The sequence below is a fragment of the Homo sapiens genome, chromosome 9 (genome assembly GCF_000001405.40).
Source record: "Homo sapiens chromosome 9, GRCh38.p14 Primary Assembly".
Taxonomy (NCBI): Eukaryota; Metazoa; Chordata; class Mammalia; order Primates; family Hominidae; genus Homo; species Homo sapiens.
In genome coordinates this window covers 497,808-513,581 of record NC_000009.12, presented here as the reverse complement: position 1 = coordinate 513,581, position 15,774 = coordinate 497,808, and the positions used below count along the sequence as shown (strand labels likewise).

The 15,774-nt window shown below is 45.6% G+C and overlaps 2 protein-coding genes and 1 pseudogene across 36 annotated transcripts in view, besides 1 other annotated feature; 1 reads left to right on the top strand and 2 right to left on the bottom strand.

The window, feature by feature from the left end:
• The window catches only part of KANK1 (KN motif and ankyrin repeat domains 1), a 275,809-nt gene that overhangs the window by 232,522 nt on the left and 27,513 nt on the right, over positions 1–15,774 (bottom strand). For 15 of the 35 annotated variants that reach the window (XM_024447463.2, NM_001438412.1, XM_047423069.1 and 12 more), the window contains exon 1: positions 8,828–8,887. The exons of 19 other annotated variants lie outside the window; for them this stretch is intronic. The gene's annotated coding sequence lies outside the window, so the exon portion shown is untranslated. Of the gene's footprint in view, positions 1–8,827; positions 8,888–9,338; positions 9,560–15,774 lie in introns of those variants that run through there. One more of the 35 variants, XM_047423057.1, reaches the window with a different exon arrangement.
• Positions 8,029–14,328, top strand: LOC105375947 (translation initiation factor IF-2-like). The gene is made up of 4 exons (XM_047424276.1): positions 8,029–8,322; positions 8,413–8,643; positions 8,761–9,885; positions 12,736–14,328. Exons 1-3 carry the CDS (start codon positions 8,029–8,031, stop codon positions 9,580–9,582), a joined length of 1,347 nt encoding a protein of 448 aa, XP_047280232.1. The 3' UTR covers positions 9,583–9,885; positions 12,736–14,328.
• Positions 8,762–9,251: a silencer, noted in NCBI's record as "silent region_19725". NCBI's record gives its function as "represses an Ori minimal core promoter by ATAC-STARR-seq in GM12878 lymphoblastoid cells {active_cell/tissue: GM12878}" and the evidence as "EXISTENCE:reporter gene assay evidence [ECO:0000049][PMID:35858748]".
• FAM217AP1 (family with sequence similarity 217 member A pseudogene 1) lies at positions 11,889–13,323 on the bottom strand (annotated as a pseudogene).

Below are 15,774 nucleotides of genomic sequence, written 5' to 3'. Positions count from 1 at the left end.
TATCTGCAATATACAATGAATGCAAACCAACAAGACTAGAGGTTCTTATATGTTTCTTGGATGATAATTATAAAAAGGGATTAGTTATGTGTTCTGAGAGTTAAACTAAGCCCCATTGCTCAATTGTATTAACTAAATGAATCCAAAAAAAGAAAAAACCCAAAACACCTCCAACAGAGTTACAGGGCTCCTGACACTCTGTTTCCAATTAACTGATTGCTTTGGTAATGAAAAAAGCAAGAGAGCACTTATTTCTGACAGCACATCCACATACAAACACTCAACTCAACCATGTGTCTGTAATAAGATTCTTCATTGGTGAAAATATCATTTGCTTCCAGCATTCATAATTTAAATGCTAAGTGTAGGGAAGAAAAAGGCAAACAGGTATCTGAGTTTAAAAGCCAAAGAGAAAAAATAAAAAGTGTCAAATTATGCCACCTGCTAGGCTCACAAAGAGGACACACTCATAGGCAATTCCCATTTTTAGTGGCTGGAGTGTTTTAACAAGAGCCTCATTGTCAAGCCTCAACCATTTGAAGCTGCTTTTCTGCCATGTCCCTCCCCAACACCATACCCTTCAACAAACCTGAGTTTTCCATATCTCTACGGCCTGGTAAAGAATGGACTGCTTTATTTTAAATCAGAAAGGTAACCAAAAGAAGACAACTAAAAATAATAAGGCAAAAATAATAAGATATCTAATAAAAACCAGGAGGCAGAGAGAAGAGGAAAGAGAGGTGTGAGGGAATATAAATTCCACTTCTTCCTTAGCAGGAAGTTAACAGACACTGTCAAATTTATGAACTCAAGCATAGACTGGCAGTATATTTTATACTGCAAATTCTTTGACACTCCCATCAAGTGGCAGGTCGATGTCCCCTCTGCTTGAGCCTGAGCAAGTTTTGTGCTACAACCAATAGTTTGGCAAAAGGGAAGTTATTAACTTCTGATAATATGTCATAAAAGGCCATGAAGCTTCCAACTGGTTTACCCAAGGTGCTCGTAGCAGGGTATGATGGTTAATTTTATGTGTTGACTTGGAGGATGTTTTTGGATGAGATTCACATTTAAATCAGGTAACTATGGGTAAAAGAGACTGCCCTCCATAATGTGGGTGGGCCTCATGCAAACAACTAAAGGTATGAACTAAACAAAAAGACCGGCCTCCCTGAGCTGGAGGGAATTCTCCAGCAGACCTCCTTCAGTCTTCTTCTAGACTCTCCTTGTCTCCATCTGTTGGCCCACAATGCAGTATTTAGGACTAGCCCGCCTCCAAACTGAATAAGTCAATTCCTTGTTTTAAAAATCTTGTGTGTGTGTATATACATACACACACACACACACACACTATTGGTTATGTTTCTCTGGAGAGCCCTTAGTAACACATGAGGGAAGCCTGCTGCCACACAAGTTCAACTACCTGGAGCCACCATGCTGAAGTCACCATGAAGACATGTAGTTGCCATGAAGACAAATGAAGTCAACATGTGTAGGTGCTCTGCTCAACAGTCATTGCTGAGCCCAGCATTCCAGCTACTCCCACTAAGGCAATAGTCATGGGAGCAAAGCCTTTTTGGAGCCAGTGGACCAGCACATCCACCAGCTGGGTACCAGGGAATGACCTCAGTCAACACCGAAAGCAGCAGAATCACCCAGCCCAGCCCTGCCTGAATCCCTGACCCACAGAATCCAAAACACCATAAAACAAATTTTTGAGCCACTAAATTTTGGGGGGTAATTTGCTAAAATAACCACTAGAAGAACTAAAAACAGAAACAGCAGTTATCACACCTAAACCAAGACTGTAGCTGAGTTGGGACCAGACAAGAATGATGAGTTTTGTTTTTATTTTAAACCCTTTGTTGTTTATATTATTTACACTATGTGTGAGTATTAGAAATTCTATAATTCAGAAATTCAAAAATTAAGGGAATAACAGCAAACATGTATAAAACTTACTGTATACCAACCACCCTTCTAAGTGTTCTTGAGTCTGGACAGGTGACTGCCTCAACCAACAGAGTTGGTTTTAACTCATTCAATCCTCACAAGTACCCAATAAAGGAGATGCTTTTATTATCCCTGTTTATAGATGGGAAATTGACACACAGAGAGGTTTAGTAACTGTGCCAAAGGTCACACAGCAAGCAACAGATCCTAGATTAAAAGTAGCCAGCCTGGGCCTACACCTACAATATTTCCACAGAGATCACCAGGCTGGCTCAGCAGTCACAAGTCACAGGAAGAAAGGTACAATCTCAAATTGCCATTCACCTGGGTCTCCAAGCCTATGACTGACCATGGTATTATGTGTCAAGCACTGCCACCTTTTACTTTTTCAAAACCTATTGCCTAAATGCAGTGCCCTTTACTCTAATTCCCACCCATACACATTTTTCAAGGCCAAATCCCCCTAAATATCACCCAGATCTCTCTACTCAGCATTAATTTCTCCATCCCTTTCCTTTCCAGAGTGAACCTTTTGTATCGATATTGAGTATTTCTAACATTTTGCCTATTAATACAATTTTGCATCATTATACATTCATTCCCTATGAACTCTTAGCTTTCTAGTCTCTGATTTCCCCCACCAGGGCCTTGCACATAATACAAATTTAAGTACTGTTTACTAAAGTTAAGTGATATTGGCTTATTCTGAATGAAGGCTGGTCTAGCAGCCTTCATCTTAGAGAAATTATCACTGAATTTTACCTGAGGGGAAAGGAGTTAAGATCTATAATTAGGCAAAAAAGCAGCCTACTGCATTCTAATCTCTGGCAGGTGTTTACCATTAAACCCCATGATGCTGACTTGAATGTACCAAACAGCTTTCTCCCAAAATCCTCCAAGTACTTTTTTCGGCCTATATATTAGTTCATTTATTTTCGGTATCTTCCAGAAAAAGAATAGTAAGGAAGCCAGCATCACCAACCCCACTGTCCAGTGGTCAACCGGGGCTCTCCCTATGCACCGCTGATCTCTCTCCTTGAGAAGGCTCAGTGTCTCTTTAGTGATGTCTGCTCCCTAGCCAATTTCTAGAGACTCCTTAAAGCTGAGCTCAAGTCTTACTTTTGGGGGAAGCAGCTCCTAATCATCTAGACAAGAAAGACTTCTCCCTCAGAACTTAAACAAGCACTGCATTTGTAGAATGAACACTCCTTGGTCATGTGTAAGAATTTTGCCTAACTGGTATTTTTAATTATTAGATATAATTTCTGGACAATCAACTACTTAATGGTATGATCCTTCTTATATCCTTTCAAGCTCTTGGCTCAATACCTTTGTAAACAGGACCATATAAAGAAAATTAATCAGTGATACCTAAATGAAATTGCCACAAAGGTTCAATTTATGCTATTTTTAAAGAAGTTATCATGGTCAACCTCACCATTATTTTCAGAATTGCAATTTAACCCAATGAGACACCCTTTTGCAGGTAACATATTAGCAATTTAAAGATTTCTTAGACTGGGTGCAGTGGCTCACACCTGTAATCCCAGCACTTTTAGGAGGGCAAGGAGGGAGGATTGTTTGAGGCCAGGAGTTTGAGACCCGCCTGGACAACCTAGCAAGACCCCATCTCTACAACTAAAAAAAAAAAAAAGGAAAAATTAGCTGAGTGCAGTGGCACATGCCTGTAGTCCCAGCTACTCGGGAGGCAGGCTGAGGCGGGAGGATTGCTTGGGCCCAGCAGTTCACGGTTACAGCGAGCTCTGATCCTGTCACTGCACTCCAGCCTGGGTGACACAATGATATCCTGTCTCAAAAAAATAAAAAAGATTTCTTTAATCAATTCCATATTAGGTTCAAGGATAACTCTGCAGGCAGCAGTTTAACAAAGATCCCAAGCCACATAAACAAAAATCTCAAATTTATGAAATACCCAAGAGGGAGGTAAAAACTATATGCACAAAGATGATTTCCACAACGGTATGTACTAGTAAAACACCAGAAATTAACACACATTTCTAATAAGAGGATTATTAAATGAAAGCATATCCTTAGGCATATGCAGGGATTAAAAAGTCAGAGACTGAAGCAATATTAAGATACTGTGTTAAGAAACAAAATACAAAATTGAATATTAGAATTGTGACTTCATAAAAACATGAACAGACATGGAAAAGCACTGGAAGTGAAGACAACAAATAATTAGTCTGCTAGGATGGGGTAAATATAGGTCATATTGGGCCAGTGGCTCACGCCTGTAATCACAGCACTTTGGGAGGCCGAGGTGGGTGGATCACGAGGTCAGGAGATGGAGACCATCCCGGCCAACATGGTGAAACCCCGTGTCTACTAAAAGTACAAAAATTAGCTGGGCGTGGTGGCGTGTGCCTGTAGTTCCAGCTAATCGGGAGGCTGAGGCAGGAGAATTGCTTGAACTCAGGAGGCAGAGGTTCCAGTGAGTCAAGATCGCGCCACTGCACTCATCCTGGTGACAGAGCAAGACTCCGCCTCCAAAAAAAAAATAATAAATAGGTCATATTTTGTCCATTTGCCAAACTCTGCAGATCTACTGCTCTTCCAATTTAAAAAGGACACAACAGAACTCTCTCACACTACGGGTAGAAGTATAAACTCTACAACCACTTCAGAAATCCGCATGACTGTACCTCTAAACTGAATCCTAGTTTGGAACTGGGAAATTCTACTTCTGAATAGAATTTGTACAAATGTACACATTTGTATTGGATATTGTGTATCAAGACGTGTACTAGAATTAGAATGTTCATAGTCACACTACTTACCATGTAAGAAACTGGAAACTATGTAAATGCCCCTCAAACCTAAAAATTGATAAATTGTAGTCATACAATTGAATATTACACAGCAGTGAAAATAACTGAACTACAGCCACAAGCAACAACACAGCTGAATCTCACAAATATAATGTTGAGAAAGAAACCAGGATACTAAAAGCTATATACCGTGTGAGTCTGTGTAGAGCATGAAAACAGATAAAACTAATCCACAGTTGGCACAACGGTTACTCTTCGGGAGGGGCAGTGATTGGACAAGAGTATAGGGGCACTTCTGCAATGCTGGCAATATTTTGGTTCTTTCCGTGAGTACTTGTTATATGTTTATGTTCACTTTGTGACAATTTGTGAAGATGTACTCTTAAGATGTATAGCTACAGGCTGGGCACAGTGGCTCACGCCTGTAATGCCAGCACTTTGGGAGGCCAAGGCAGGCGGATCACCTGAGGTCGGGAGTTCGAGACCAGCCTGACCAACATGGAGAAACCCCGTTTCTACTAAACATACAAAATTAGCCGGGCATGGTGGCAGATGCCTGCAATCCCAGCTACTCAGGAGGCTGAGGCAGAGAATCGCTTGAACCCGGGAGGCAGAGGTTGCAGTGAGCTGAGATCACCCCAATGCACTCCAGCCTGGGCAACAAGAAAGAAACTCCATCTCAAAAAAAAAAAAAAAAAAAAAAAAAAAAAAAAAAGGCTGAGCAGGGTGTCTCACACCTGTAATCCCAACACTTTGGGAGGCAGAGGCGGATGGATAACCTGACGTCACGAGTTCAAGACCAGCCTGGCCAACATGGTAAAACCCCCGTCTCTAACAAAAATACAAAAATTAGCCAAGTGTGGGGGCGCATGCCTGTAATCCCTCAGCACTTTGGGAGGCTGAGGTGGGCGGATCACAAGGTCAGGAGTTGGAGACCAGCCTGACCAACACGGTGAAACCCCGTCTCTACTAAAAATACAAAAACTGGCATGGTGGCTCACACCTGTAATCCTGACACTTTGAGAGGCCGAGGTGGGCACATCACGATGTCAAGAGATTGAGACCATCCTGGCCAACATAGTGAAACCCTGTCTCTACTAAAAATACAAAAATTAGCTGGGTGTGGTGACACGGTGCCTGTAGTCCCAGCTACTCGGGAGGCTGAGGCACGAGAATCGCTTGAACCCAGGAGGCGGAGGTTGCAGTGAGCTGAGATCGCGCCACTGCACTCCAGCCTGGCAACAGATCGAGACTCCATCTCAAAAAAAAAAAAAAAAAAATTAGCCGGGCATGGTGGCAGGTGCCTGTAATCCCAGCTACTTGGGAGGCTGAGGCAGGAGAATCGCTTAAACCTGGGAGGCGGAGGTTGCAGTGAGCTGATACTGTGACATTGCACTGTAGCCTGGCTGACAAGAGCAAAACTCCGTCGGCAGGGCTGGGGGTGTGGGATATGTATACCTATGGTACAGCTCATCTTGTTTTGAGAGAGGATATTGCTCGGTCATCTAGGCTGGAGTGCAGTGGCATGATCATAGTTCACTGCAGCCTCAAACTCCTGGGCTAAAGCAATCCTCCTGCCTCAGCCTCCCAAGTAGCTGGGACTACAGGTGCATGTGCCACCATATCCGGTTATTTTTTATTTTTTTTGTAGAGACGGAGTCTCGCTATGTCAATGTTCTAAATTACCAAAAAAAAAAAAAAAAGATGGCATAAGCTGTCACCCATGCAACAGGCCTAAAACTTCCCGAAACACTTGAAAACAAGTTGACTTTTCTTATTGAAGGGTGAGTGAGAAGTGTAGTGGATGTTGCATAATTTGGATAGCTTCAACTCTCCTTACTAAAAATGATTTTTAAAACATGCACACATTATCCAACAAAAAGCCCGAGTGAAGTGTCCAACTTTTCACAGACCCACTCTGCTCTTTCAGAATCTGCTCACCCTATAGTTATTCCATCTCAACAGTCCTCAGCTCCCACAAGCACTGCCCCTTTCGGCCATTATCCCATTCCTCTTCCCAGTTCCTTGCACTGCCCCCAACTAGATCCTTTTCCATCCTCCTCCTCCCACTTGGGATAAAAAGTTAATGTATGCACACATTAACTCAGAACTATTTGTGAACTGATACTCATGAAATGAAACTAGTCTTGAATGTATCAATTCCAGTGGCCATTTGCCTGTGGTTTTTTGGTTTCTTTCTTTGGGGCCAGTTTGGATATTTTAAAAAATTACTTTTAAGCCTAGTCTTTTTTCCTTCTAACATTCCCTGCCGAGCGCGCACGCACACGCACACACACACACACACACACCCAGAACTCACTTTCGCTGAGGCAGAACCTCGACTAGAGTGATTTATGGACTAGGCAAGTCTAGAGCCCAGAAAGCATCCCTGTGCCCTAAGGGGATAAAATGTATTCCCAACTTGTGGGTCTCTACAGGAGGCAATTATTCCTCTACTGGCAGCTTCTCTTCCATCCTTATTCATTTTAACCTCCCCATAGGACAGCCAATACTTAATTTTTCTTCCATTGCTTCAGCAGCACCTTTCCCCAAACCTAGTAACAGAAAAAGGATCAAAGTTAATCACCTCTCAGTTTTCTCACTCAGTCTCTATCTTAGAAAAACTTCCTAAGTAGCTGCCTTAAAATGAGGGAGAAGGGCTGGGAGATGGAAGAATGACTGCTAATCGGTATAGGGGTTCTTTTTGGGGGCAACGAAATGGAATCAGATGGTAGTGATGATTTCATAACTTTACGGATATATTAAAAACCACTGAATTTTGACCTTAGAAGAGTAAATTTATATGTTTATTACACTTCAATTTTTTTTAAATAAAACGTGCTCAACATTTTAGTAGAGAAAGTTGGATGAAAGGAGAAACTGGCAGATGAACAGCTACTTAGCTGTTAACGCCACCTAAAAATGAACTTGAATAAACTCAGGAATTCAATATAAGCAAACAGACCCTCATTTCCATTCAGCTCCAGAGGTGGGGGGCAATGACGGTGAGGAAAGGAACTGCACGATTACACATCTGGATGATTAAGCTTCCTTATTAGCCTCGGGTATCAGGGTCTAATAGAATCCACTATTTAATAAGATGGGCTGACCCTCCGCAGAGGCCACGTGCGGAAAGCGAGCGCTGGCGGACGCCATAAATTGTTAACGCCAACTCGCCCAAGGCCTTCACTAGGTCACGCTCGTGCAGCACGGCTCGTGCTGACCCGCAAGAGCCACCAAGAACAGTTGCCTCTGAAAGTTCCACGGGACCCGGGTGAAGGAGATGAACGGTCAAGGAGCCGTGGCTGCCGCGAGCGCCACTGCGTGTTGCCCAAAGCGGCACAGAAAACGCAACATTCGGGGACCAGCCCGCTTCAGGGCCCCTACACCTTCCCTCGACCTGGAACCGCGGGACCTCGGAAACCCACGCTGCCCGCGCCGGGTTGGGCCGCCCCAGAGGCCGCAGCGCCCACGCCCCTCCCCCGCCTCCCCGCCCTCCAGCCCCGGCCGAAGCCACCTCGGAGTTGGCGGAGGGCGACCCGAGGCCACCTGCCCCTCTGGGGCCGAGGATAAAGGGGTCTTGACCGCCACTCCCTCCCGCGAAGGGCAACATCCAACTCCACGGAGAGCCGCTTCAGAGAGGGTCCCCCGTTCCGCCCCGGGCTAGGGAAGGGCCCAGAGGCATCCGAGGGACAGAGCGCCGGGCCGGGGTAGCCAGGCGCCCGCACCCTCCCGCCGGCCGGCCCGGCCCGAACTTTCTCGCTGCTCCGTGCCCGGCGCGCCTCTCCCTCCTCCAGACCGGCCGAGCGCCGCCGCTGCAGAGCGCGCCAAACTCCGACGGCCGCGGGGCCGACGCCACCTCTCGGACCCCCCCCCAGGACCGCCCCGAGGCCGCCGGGTTCACCCGCACGAGCGGGAGCCCGCGGGGGCTGCCCTCCGCCACCGCCACGGCCGCCGCGCAACCCCGGCGCGCGCCAAGTCGGCTCCGCGCGGGGCCAGCCCGAGGCAGGGGTAGGGGCCTCGCGCTCCGGGACAACCTCGCCGCGGCACGGGGCGCGGCACGGCCCCGCCGCGTCACTCACCTTCGGCCGCTCCTCCCAACCTGCCGGCCGCTCGCTCGCTCCGCCGCGGACCCGGAGCTCGGGGAAGGGCGGGGCGCAGGGGGCGGAGTCGGCCCCGGCTGGCAAGCGCCAGAATTAAAGCCCGAACCGCACGGCCGCCGCCGGGGCGGGGAAGCCGGGGCGGACCAGCAAGCCTCTCACCCGCGGTGGGCGACAGCTGTGGCTGCGCCCCGGAGCGGCGCGTGAGAAGAACGGCGCGGGCCGGCGAAGCCCCGGCTGCTCCCTCCGCCCAGAGGACGCCCGGCTCCCCGCGGGGGCGCTCTTTGTACCGCGGAGCCGGCCGCGGGCGGCCCTCAGTGCGCCTGCGCGCCGCTGCAACTCCACCAGGCCCGCGGGGCACCTTCGTGCACCTTCGTCGCCGCGCCTGGCCCGCGGGCCTCGCCGCGGCGAGAACTAAGCAGAAGAACTTCCTCCACCGCGGTTCGCTCCTTCTGCCAACCCGTATTTACCACGTCCATCCTCGCACACACACCCGCAAGGGGAGAAGAAATCCAGCCCCCGTGAGACGGTGCGGTGCTCCCATCTCCGGCTGGGGCGGGGGTTCTGGCAACGAGGCTGGCCTGCTCGACGTCCTCCCCCAGCGCCTCTGTACCTCCTCTCCCTCCCCGGGTGAGGGGGACCGGAGCGTGCAGAGCTCTGTTTCCTGCAGGTGCCTCGTCAGCACGGTCGCCCCGGCGGCCAGAAACCTCCCGCCTCCAAGGGCACCTCCCTTGTGACCTCCGTGCATTCGCCCTGGCTCGGCTGCAGGACAGAGTCCTCGGCGGAAAGGGGAGGATGCGTGTTCAGAAGGTTGCAGGTCTCTGGGGACTCCACAGAAGACCCAACGCCTGCCTCGGGGGCTCAGGATTGAACTGGCTTCCTAGTTCAGTCCCAAATACTCGATTTGGAGCAATCCAGTAGGTCCATGAGAAATTAGTAGGGATTGAGAAGCTGTGACTTCAGTCTTTTTCAAATTGAAGGTGGCTTGAACAAACAGAAGAGGAGCTTGGGAACTGAAGGGACGACTTTATAAAAACCAGGTATTACTCAAAAAACAATGTTAGCTCTGCAGTCAACTGATTTTCTTAAGGGAGAGAGTCCTCCCCTCACCCCCAAGCTCTCTAGCACCGCACACATCCAGCAGGGCGTTACACACGCTCAGTCTTTTTTGTGAGTGTGCAAGTGAAGAGCCATCAAACTTCACAAGGCGACATGCTTGCCTCTGGGGAGAAGACGCTGCTTTTCCACAGTTCACAGCGAAGCACACCTGCAAATTCCTGAACTTGATGGCTCCTGACTGTTTAGGGAATAGGCAAAGGGCAGCCGGAAGATATGTGAAGGCAGGAAAGCTCATTTTGAATCTCAGCGCCTTTGCCAGCTCACTGGGTGGCAGTAAGCAAACTCTTTCCTCCTCCTGGGCCTTGCTTTTTCGTCTGTAGAGTAGGGCATTTGGATGCAGTAGATATTTTCTAAAATCCCCCACCACCACCACCCCGCCCCAAATGTCTACTCTTCTATGAAAAGGAGAATTGTTTGCATGGTGATAAGGGATGAGATATCAGAGGCAGGAAGACTCCTGCATTTTAAAAGTGCTCGTCGGCCAGGCGCAGTGGCTCAGGCCTATAATCCTCACACTTTGGGAGGCCGAGACAGGTAGATCAGTTGACCCCAGGAGTTCTGGGCAATACAGTGAAATTCTGTTTTCACCAAAAAAAAAAAAAAAAAAAAAAAAAAATCAGCTGGGCGCGATGGCGCGCGCCTGTAGTCCCAGCTACTCTGGAGGCTAAGGTAGGAGGATCGCCTGAGCCCTGGAGGTCGAGGCGGCAGTGAGCAGAGATTGAGCCACTGCATTCTAGTCCAGGCTACAGAGTGTGACCCTGTCTCAAAAATAAATAAATAAATAGTGCCCTCGACCGGGTGCACTGGCTCACACCTATAATCCCAGCACTTTGTGAGGCCGAGATGGGTGGATCACTTGAGGCCAGGAGTTCAACACCGGCCTGGCCAACATGGTGAAACCCCATGTCTACTAAAAAATACAAAAAAATTCGCTGGGCGTGGTGACGTGCACCTGTAATCCCAGCTACTCGGGAGGCTGAGGCAGGAGAATCCTTGAACCCGGGAAGCTGAGGTTGCAGTGAGCCGAGATCATGCCACTGCACTTTGGCCTGGGCGACAGAGCACGACTCTAAGAAAAAAAAAAAAAAAGTGCTCTCCATCCCCAGAATTCCCAGCCTTCACCTCTCCTTTATTTCTCCCTCTTTGCATTTAGTCAGTAAACATTGATAGGCCCTCAAGAGTAAGCAAAACGAATCAATCAAAAGTATGGCAGATTCTGAATTTTTAGTGGATTTATACTTGAAATTTCATTTTTAATTTAGTTATTTTATTGACATACAATTCACATGCCATACAATTTACTCCCAAAATGTATAATTCAGTGGTTTTGAATATATTCCCAAAGTCACACAACCATCACCACTAATTCCAGACATTGACATCCCAGTAAGAAACCCCATACCCATTAGTCACTCCCCATTCCTCCCTACTCCCAGCCGCTGGCTACCACTAATTTACTTTCTGTCTCTATGGATTTGCTGATTCTGGACGTTGCATATAACTAGGAACATAACAACATGCTACTAGCTTCTTTCACTTAACATAATAGTTGCAAGGCTCATCCATGCTGTAGTATGTTTCAGTACTTTCTTCCTCCCCCTACCCATTATACCATTTACTGATGATAGAATTATACTGGAAAACTGTCACAAAAGAACAATCTTTGAATAGAACCGTTTACTAAGTGAAACATTTCTTGAAATATAACATGCGAAAGATTGTCAAACATGTCAGCATAGAAGCCCTTGGATTTATATAAAGACTCTCGCGAGGCTGGGCGCTTGTGCCTATAATCCCATCATTTGGAGATCCCAAAGCAGGAGGATAGCTTGAGCCCAGGAATTGGATTGAGACCAGCCTGGGCAATAAAGTGAGACCTCATCTCTATTTTTTTAAAAAGTAACAATTAAGAAAATTAAAATACTCTCAGCAGTAATTTTCACAAATTCCAATCGATATCATATCAAGCAATTGGGGTGTGTGTGTGTGTGTGTGTGTGTGTGTATGTCTGTGCGTGGGCGAATACCTGTATCTGGGAACAATGAACCATATTTTAGCTGGGCTTCTTGGAATAGATTTGCTCACACTGAGATATATGAAAGAAAAGAATTATTTTTAGTCAATACATAAGCCCTTAGCTATAAATGAAGGCAACAAATAGCTTCTAAATATAGAATGGTCTATGCAACACTATTTTTTTTTTATAAAGTTTGTGATTGGTTCTTGGTGCCTTGATTTATTTCTTCTCATTTTCAAGAAAAGATGGAGACTGGTACTGAAAACCTTGGGGGCAGACACCTTATTGAGGCCACTTTAACCAGTCAGTGCGTTGTCTGGTCCTTGCTGAAAGTTCTTGCCACGGATTTAAAAATGAACTTTTAAGAGTTTTAAAGTCCTAAGTTGCAACCAACTGTTTTGTGGTGGATGAACTTTTTAGAGTTGGTGGTCTAGAATTTCATTTATATTTTCCAGCATTGCTCCAAATCCATTTTGAAGCATTTTGCTCAAGCTTGAAAGAACCCGATTGGTTTTTTTTTTCTTTTTTCTCAACTTTTATCTACACGAGATGTCTGAAGACTCAGTGAATCAGAAAGTTTTGGCTGTCCCACTCTCAGTATAGCTTTGGAGGAAGAAAGTCATTCAGTAACTGCTGGGGTACAGAAAGTAGTTTGTAACTTTGACCTCTCTTTTTGTATAGTCATATGTTGTAATCTTTCCATTTCCAATAATAGAGCTTTCTGAAGGTTCCCCTGTTGCTTTCCAATTTTCAGATTTTGTGAGGGCCTCATCTGTGCAAGTCCAGGGTACTGAAGCTCCGTAGGAGGGAGAAAATCAGGGTATGGAAAAACTTCACTTGGCTCCTCTGTGAAAGATTCTACAACATTTTCTGTTGTTTCTGGCTTTCAGTTTAGGTCCCTCCTTTAAATATAATTGAATAAAGTATCCTTTGCCTTTTCGTTTTCTGATAAATCACCTTCATATGTTAAATTTCCTTCCACACTGCTGTTTCCATATTTCAGTTTCCAATTTGGAGCAAACAAAGTTTCACTTGTTGTTTTCTGTAGTTGAACATGAATTAACATGGGGCTCATTTTCATCCTTAAAAAAGTCTTCATCAGCATAGGGCCAGCAGAGACCTAATGGCATCTGCAGTCCAGGATAAGAACCAACTTGCTCATCAACTGAAGCACTTGTTAATGAGTGGTTCAGAGTGAAGAGCCTTATGGAGTTACCAGTTACATTAAAGCCAGTTTCCATTACAGATTTTTTGAAATTCCTATTATCTATGGGATCTCTTTCAGTAAGAGGATAACTCCATAGCTGACATGTCACTTGTTTATTATTCTTGTTAATTTTGCTTCATGAGAGATGTTTGACACGTGTAGGTTACTGCCACAGTTGTAACTATTTTTTCTCCCCATTTTGTTGTAGCTGCTTGAAGGAGTTAAAAATATGCTACTCTAGCATGTTGACCATTTTGAGTTAAAGGCGCTTAAAAAACAGCAGGTGCAAGAAGATCACTCTACCCTTCCTTCTGTTTCTTAAAAGCAGCAGATAAAATTCCCATGCAAAAGATGTTCTCTCTCTACCAGAAGGAAATATTATCATCATCAAGGAGGGGAAGAGTCTGAGGGAAATATTACAAACAAACTTGTTAGACTAATCCTTATCCTCTTCACCACTTCTTCACCAATTAACTAGCAAGCCCCTTTTCCTTGTCACATTTTCATAAAGTACTTCTCTTTGTCTAAATCAGTATATACATGTTCATCTCTAATTGCATCTTTGGGTCTTCATTTCCTTGTAAAGTCTCCTATGCCACACAAAACTTATATTAAACAAATTCGTATGCATTTCTCCTATTGATCTATGTCAATGTAATTCTCAGTTTTAACCAAAAGTCCCCAAAAGGGTACAGGTAAAAAAGTTTCCCCTTCGTGCTCCTCAGGGCTTTTCCTGTTTTTAAGGTGTCTCAGGCCCACATGTCCTTTCCAGAGTCCTCTTCCCTGGCCCCTGCTTCAAGTACAAGGTAAAAGATTTGCAGGAGCCCCCTCTGCAAGGATGGCAGTTGGTAGCAGCCTTGTCGGCGGTGGAGGATCTCCAAGGTCTGGGGGCTGGCAATAGTGGAACTGTGGCAGCAGGAATTGGGCCCAGGGATGCCAGCTTCATCTGGGGCTGTGGCTCCTGGGGCTTCTGTACATCTTTCCTTTTTATTGCTGGACAATATTCTATTGTGTGGATGTACCACATTTTGTTTATCCATTCATCCTTTGATGGACACTGAGGTTGTTCCACTTTGGGCTATTATTAATAATGCTGCTATGAATATTCAAGTGCATGTTTTTGAATAAACATGTTTTCCTCTCTCTTAGGTATGTATCTAGGAATGGAATTTCTTGGTCATATGATAACTCTGCGTTTAACTTTTTTTTTTTTTTTGAGACAGAGTCTTGCTCTGTTGCCCAGGTTGGAGTGCAGTGGTGTGATCTCGGCTCACTGCAAGCTCCGCCTCCCAGGTTCATGCCATTCTCCTGCCTCAGCCTCCCGAGTAGCTGGGACTACAGGCGCTCGCCACCACGCCTGGCTAATTTTTTTTTATTTTTAGTAGAGACAGGGTTCCACTGTGCTGGCCAGGATGGTCTTGATCTCCTGACCTCGTGATCCACCCTCCTCGGCCTCCCAAAGTGCTGGGATTAAAGGCGTGAGCCACCTCGCCCAGCCAACTCCATGTTCAACTTTTTGAGGAACTACCAAACTGTTTTCCAAAGTAGCTATACACTTTTAGATTCCTGTTAACAATGTATAAGGGTCCTAATTTCTCCAAATCTTTGCCAACAGTTGTTGTTATCCTCTTTTTGATTATAGATATCCTAGTGGCTATGAAGTAGTATCTCACTGTGGCTTTAATTTGCTTTTCTCTAAGACTAATTATGTTGAGAATTCGTATTGGCCATTTGTATATTTTCTTTGGAGAAATGTCCATTCACATCTTTTGTCTATTGTTAAATTAGATTATGTGTCTTTTTATTATTGAATTGTAAGAAGTCTTTATTCATATCTGATAAGTGATACTAGTCTTTATCTGATATATGATTTAAAATATTTTCCTCCATTCTGTCAGTTGTGGGTCACAAGGAGGACTATCCTACTGACAGCATGCCCATGTTTAGAACCTTTCCTCTCCCTCCTTTCTCATCAAATCTAATTTGTCTTGTGTCCATTGTCTCAGAATTCAGTTAAGCTAATCTAGTATTAATACTGAACATGACCACGCGTTATACAAGCTTTGTAGTTAAAGAGCATCTGCCCTGGTTCCGAGTTTCACCCCATCAGCCCATTTCTGTAGTAGACCTTCGTGTGGTGCAATTAGTTATCTGCTAAATACTTGGAATTGTGTGCAAATAGCAATAGCCCAACTGTTGAATCTCCCCAAGCCTCAAGTTTCTTGTCTGTAAAATGGCAGTAATACCTACCTGTGCCTCTTTCATTAAGTTGCAGTAAGGATCAAACCTCACAGAGTAAGTTGGATCAGAATGAGCCTTGGGTATGCTGCAGGTAGAAATCTCGTGCCCTGAGTTTCCCATCAGGGCCTAAGAGGGTATATGGCAGCAAGGAAGCAAGTCAGGAGGGAGCAAGGAAGACACCCCAGCGAGAGATCCCCGAAGTCATACCAGACCTTTGGGACGGATGGAACTGGGGTGGTCCCTAGAAGTAATTTTCTTCTTTATACTCTTGTGTGTGTGGGTGTGTGTGTGTGGGGGGTTAATACAGGGTCTCACTCTGTCGCCCAGGCTGGAGTGCAGTGGCAC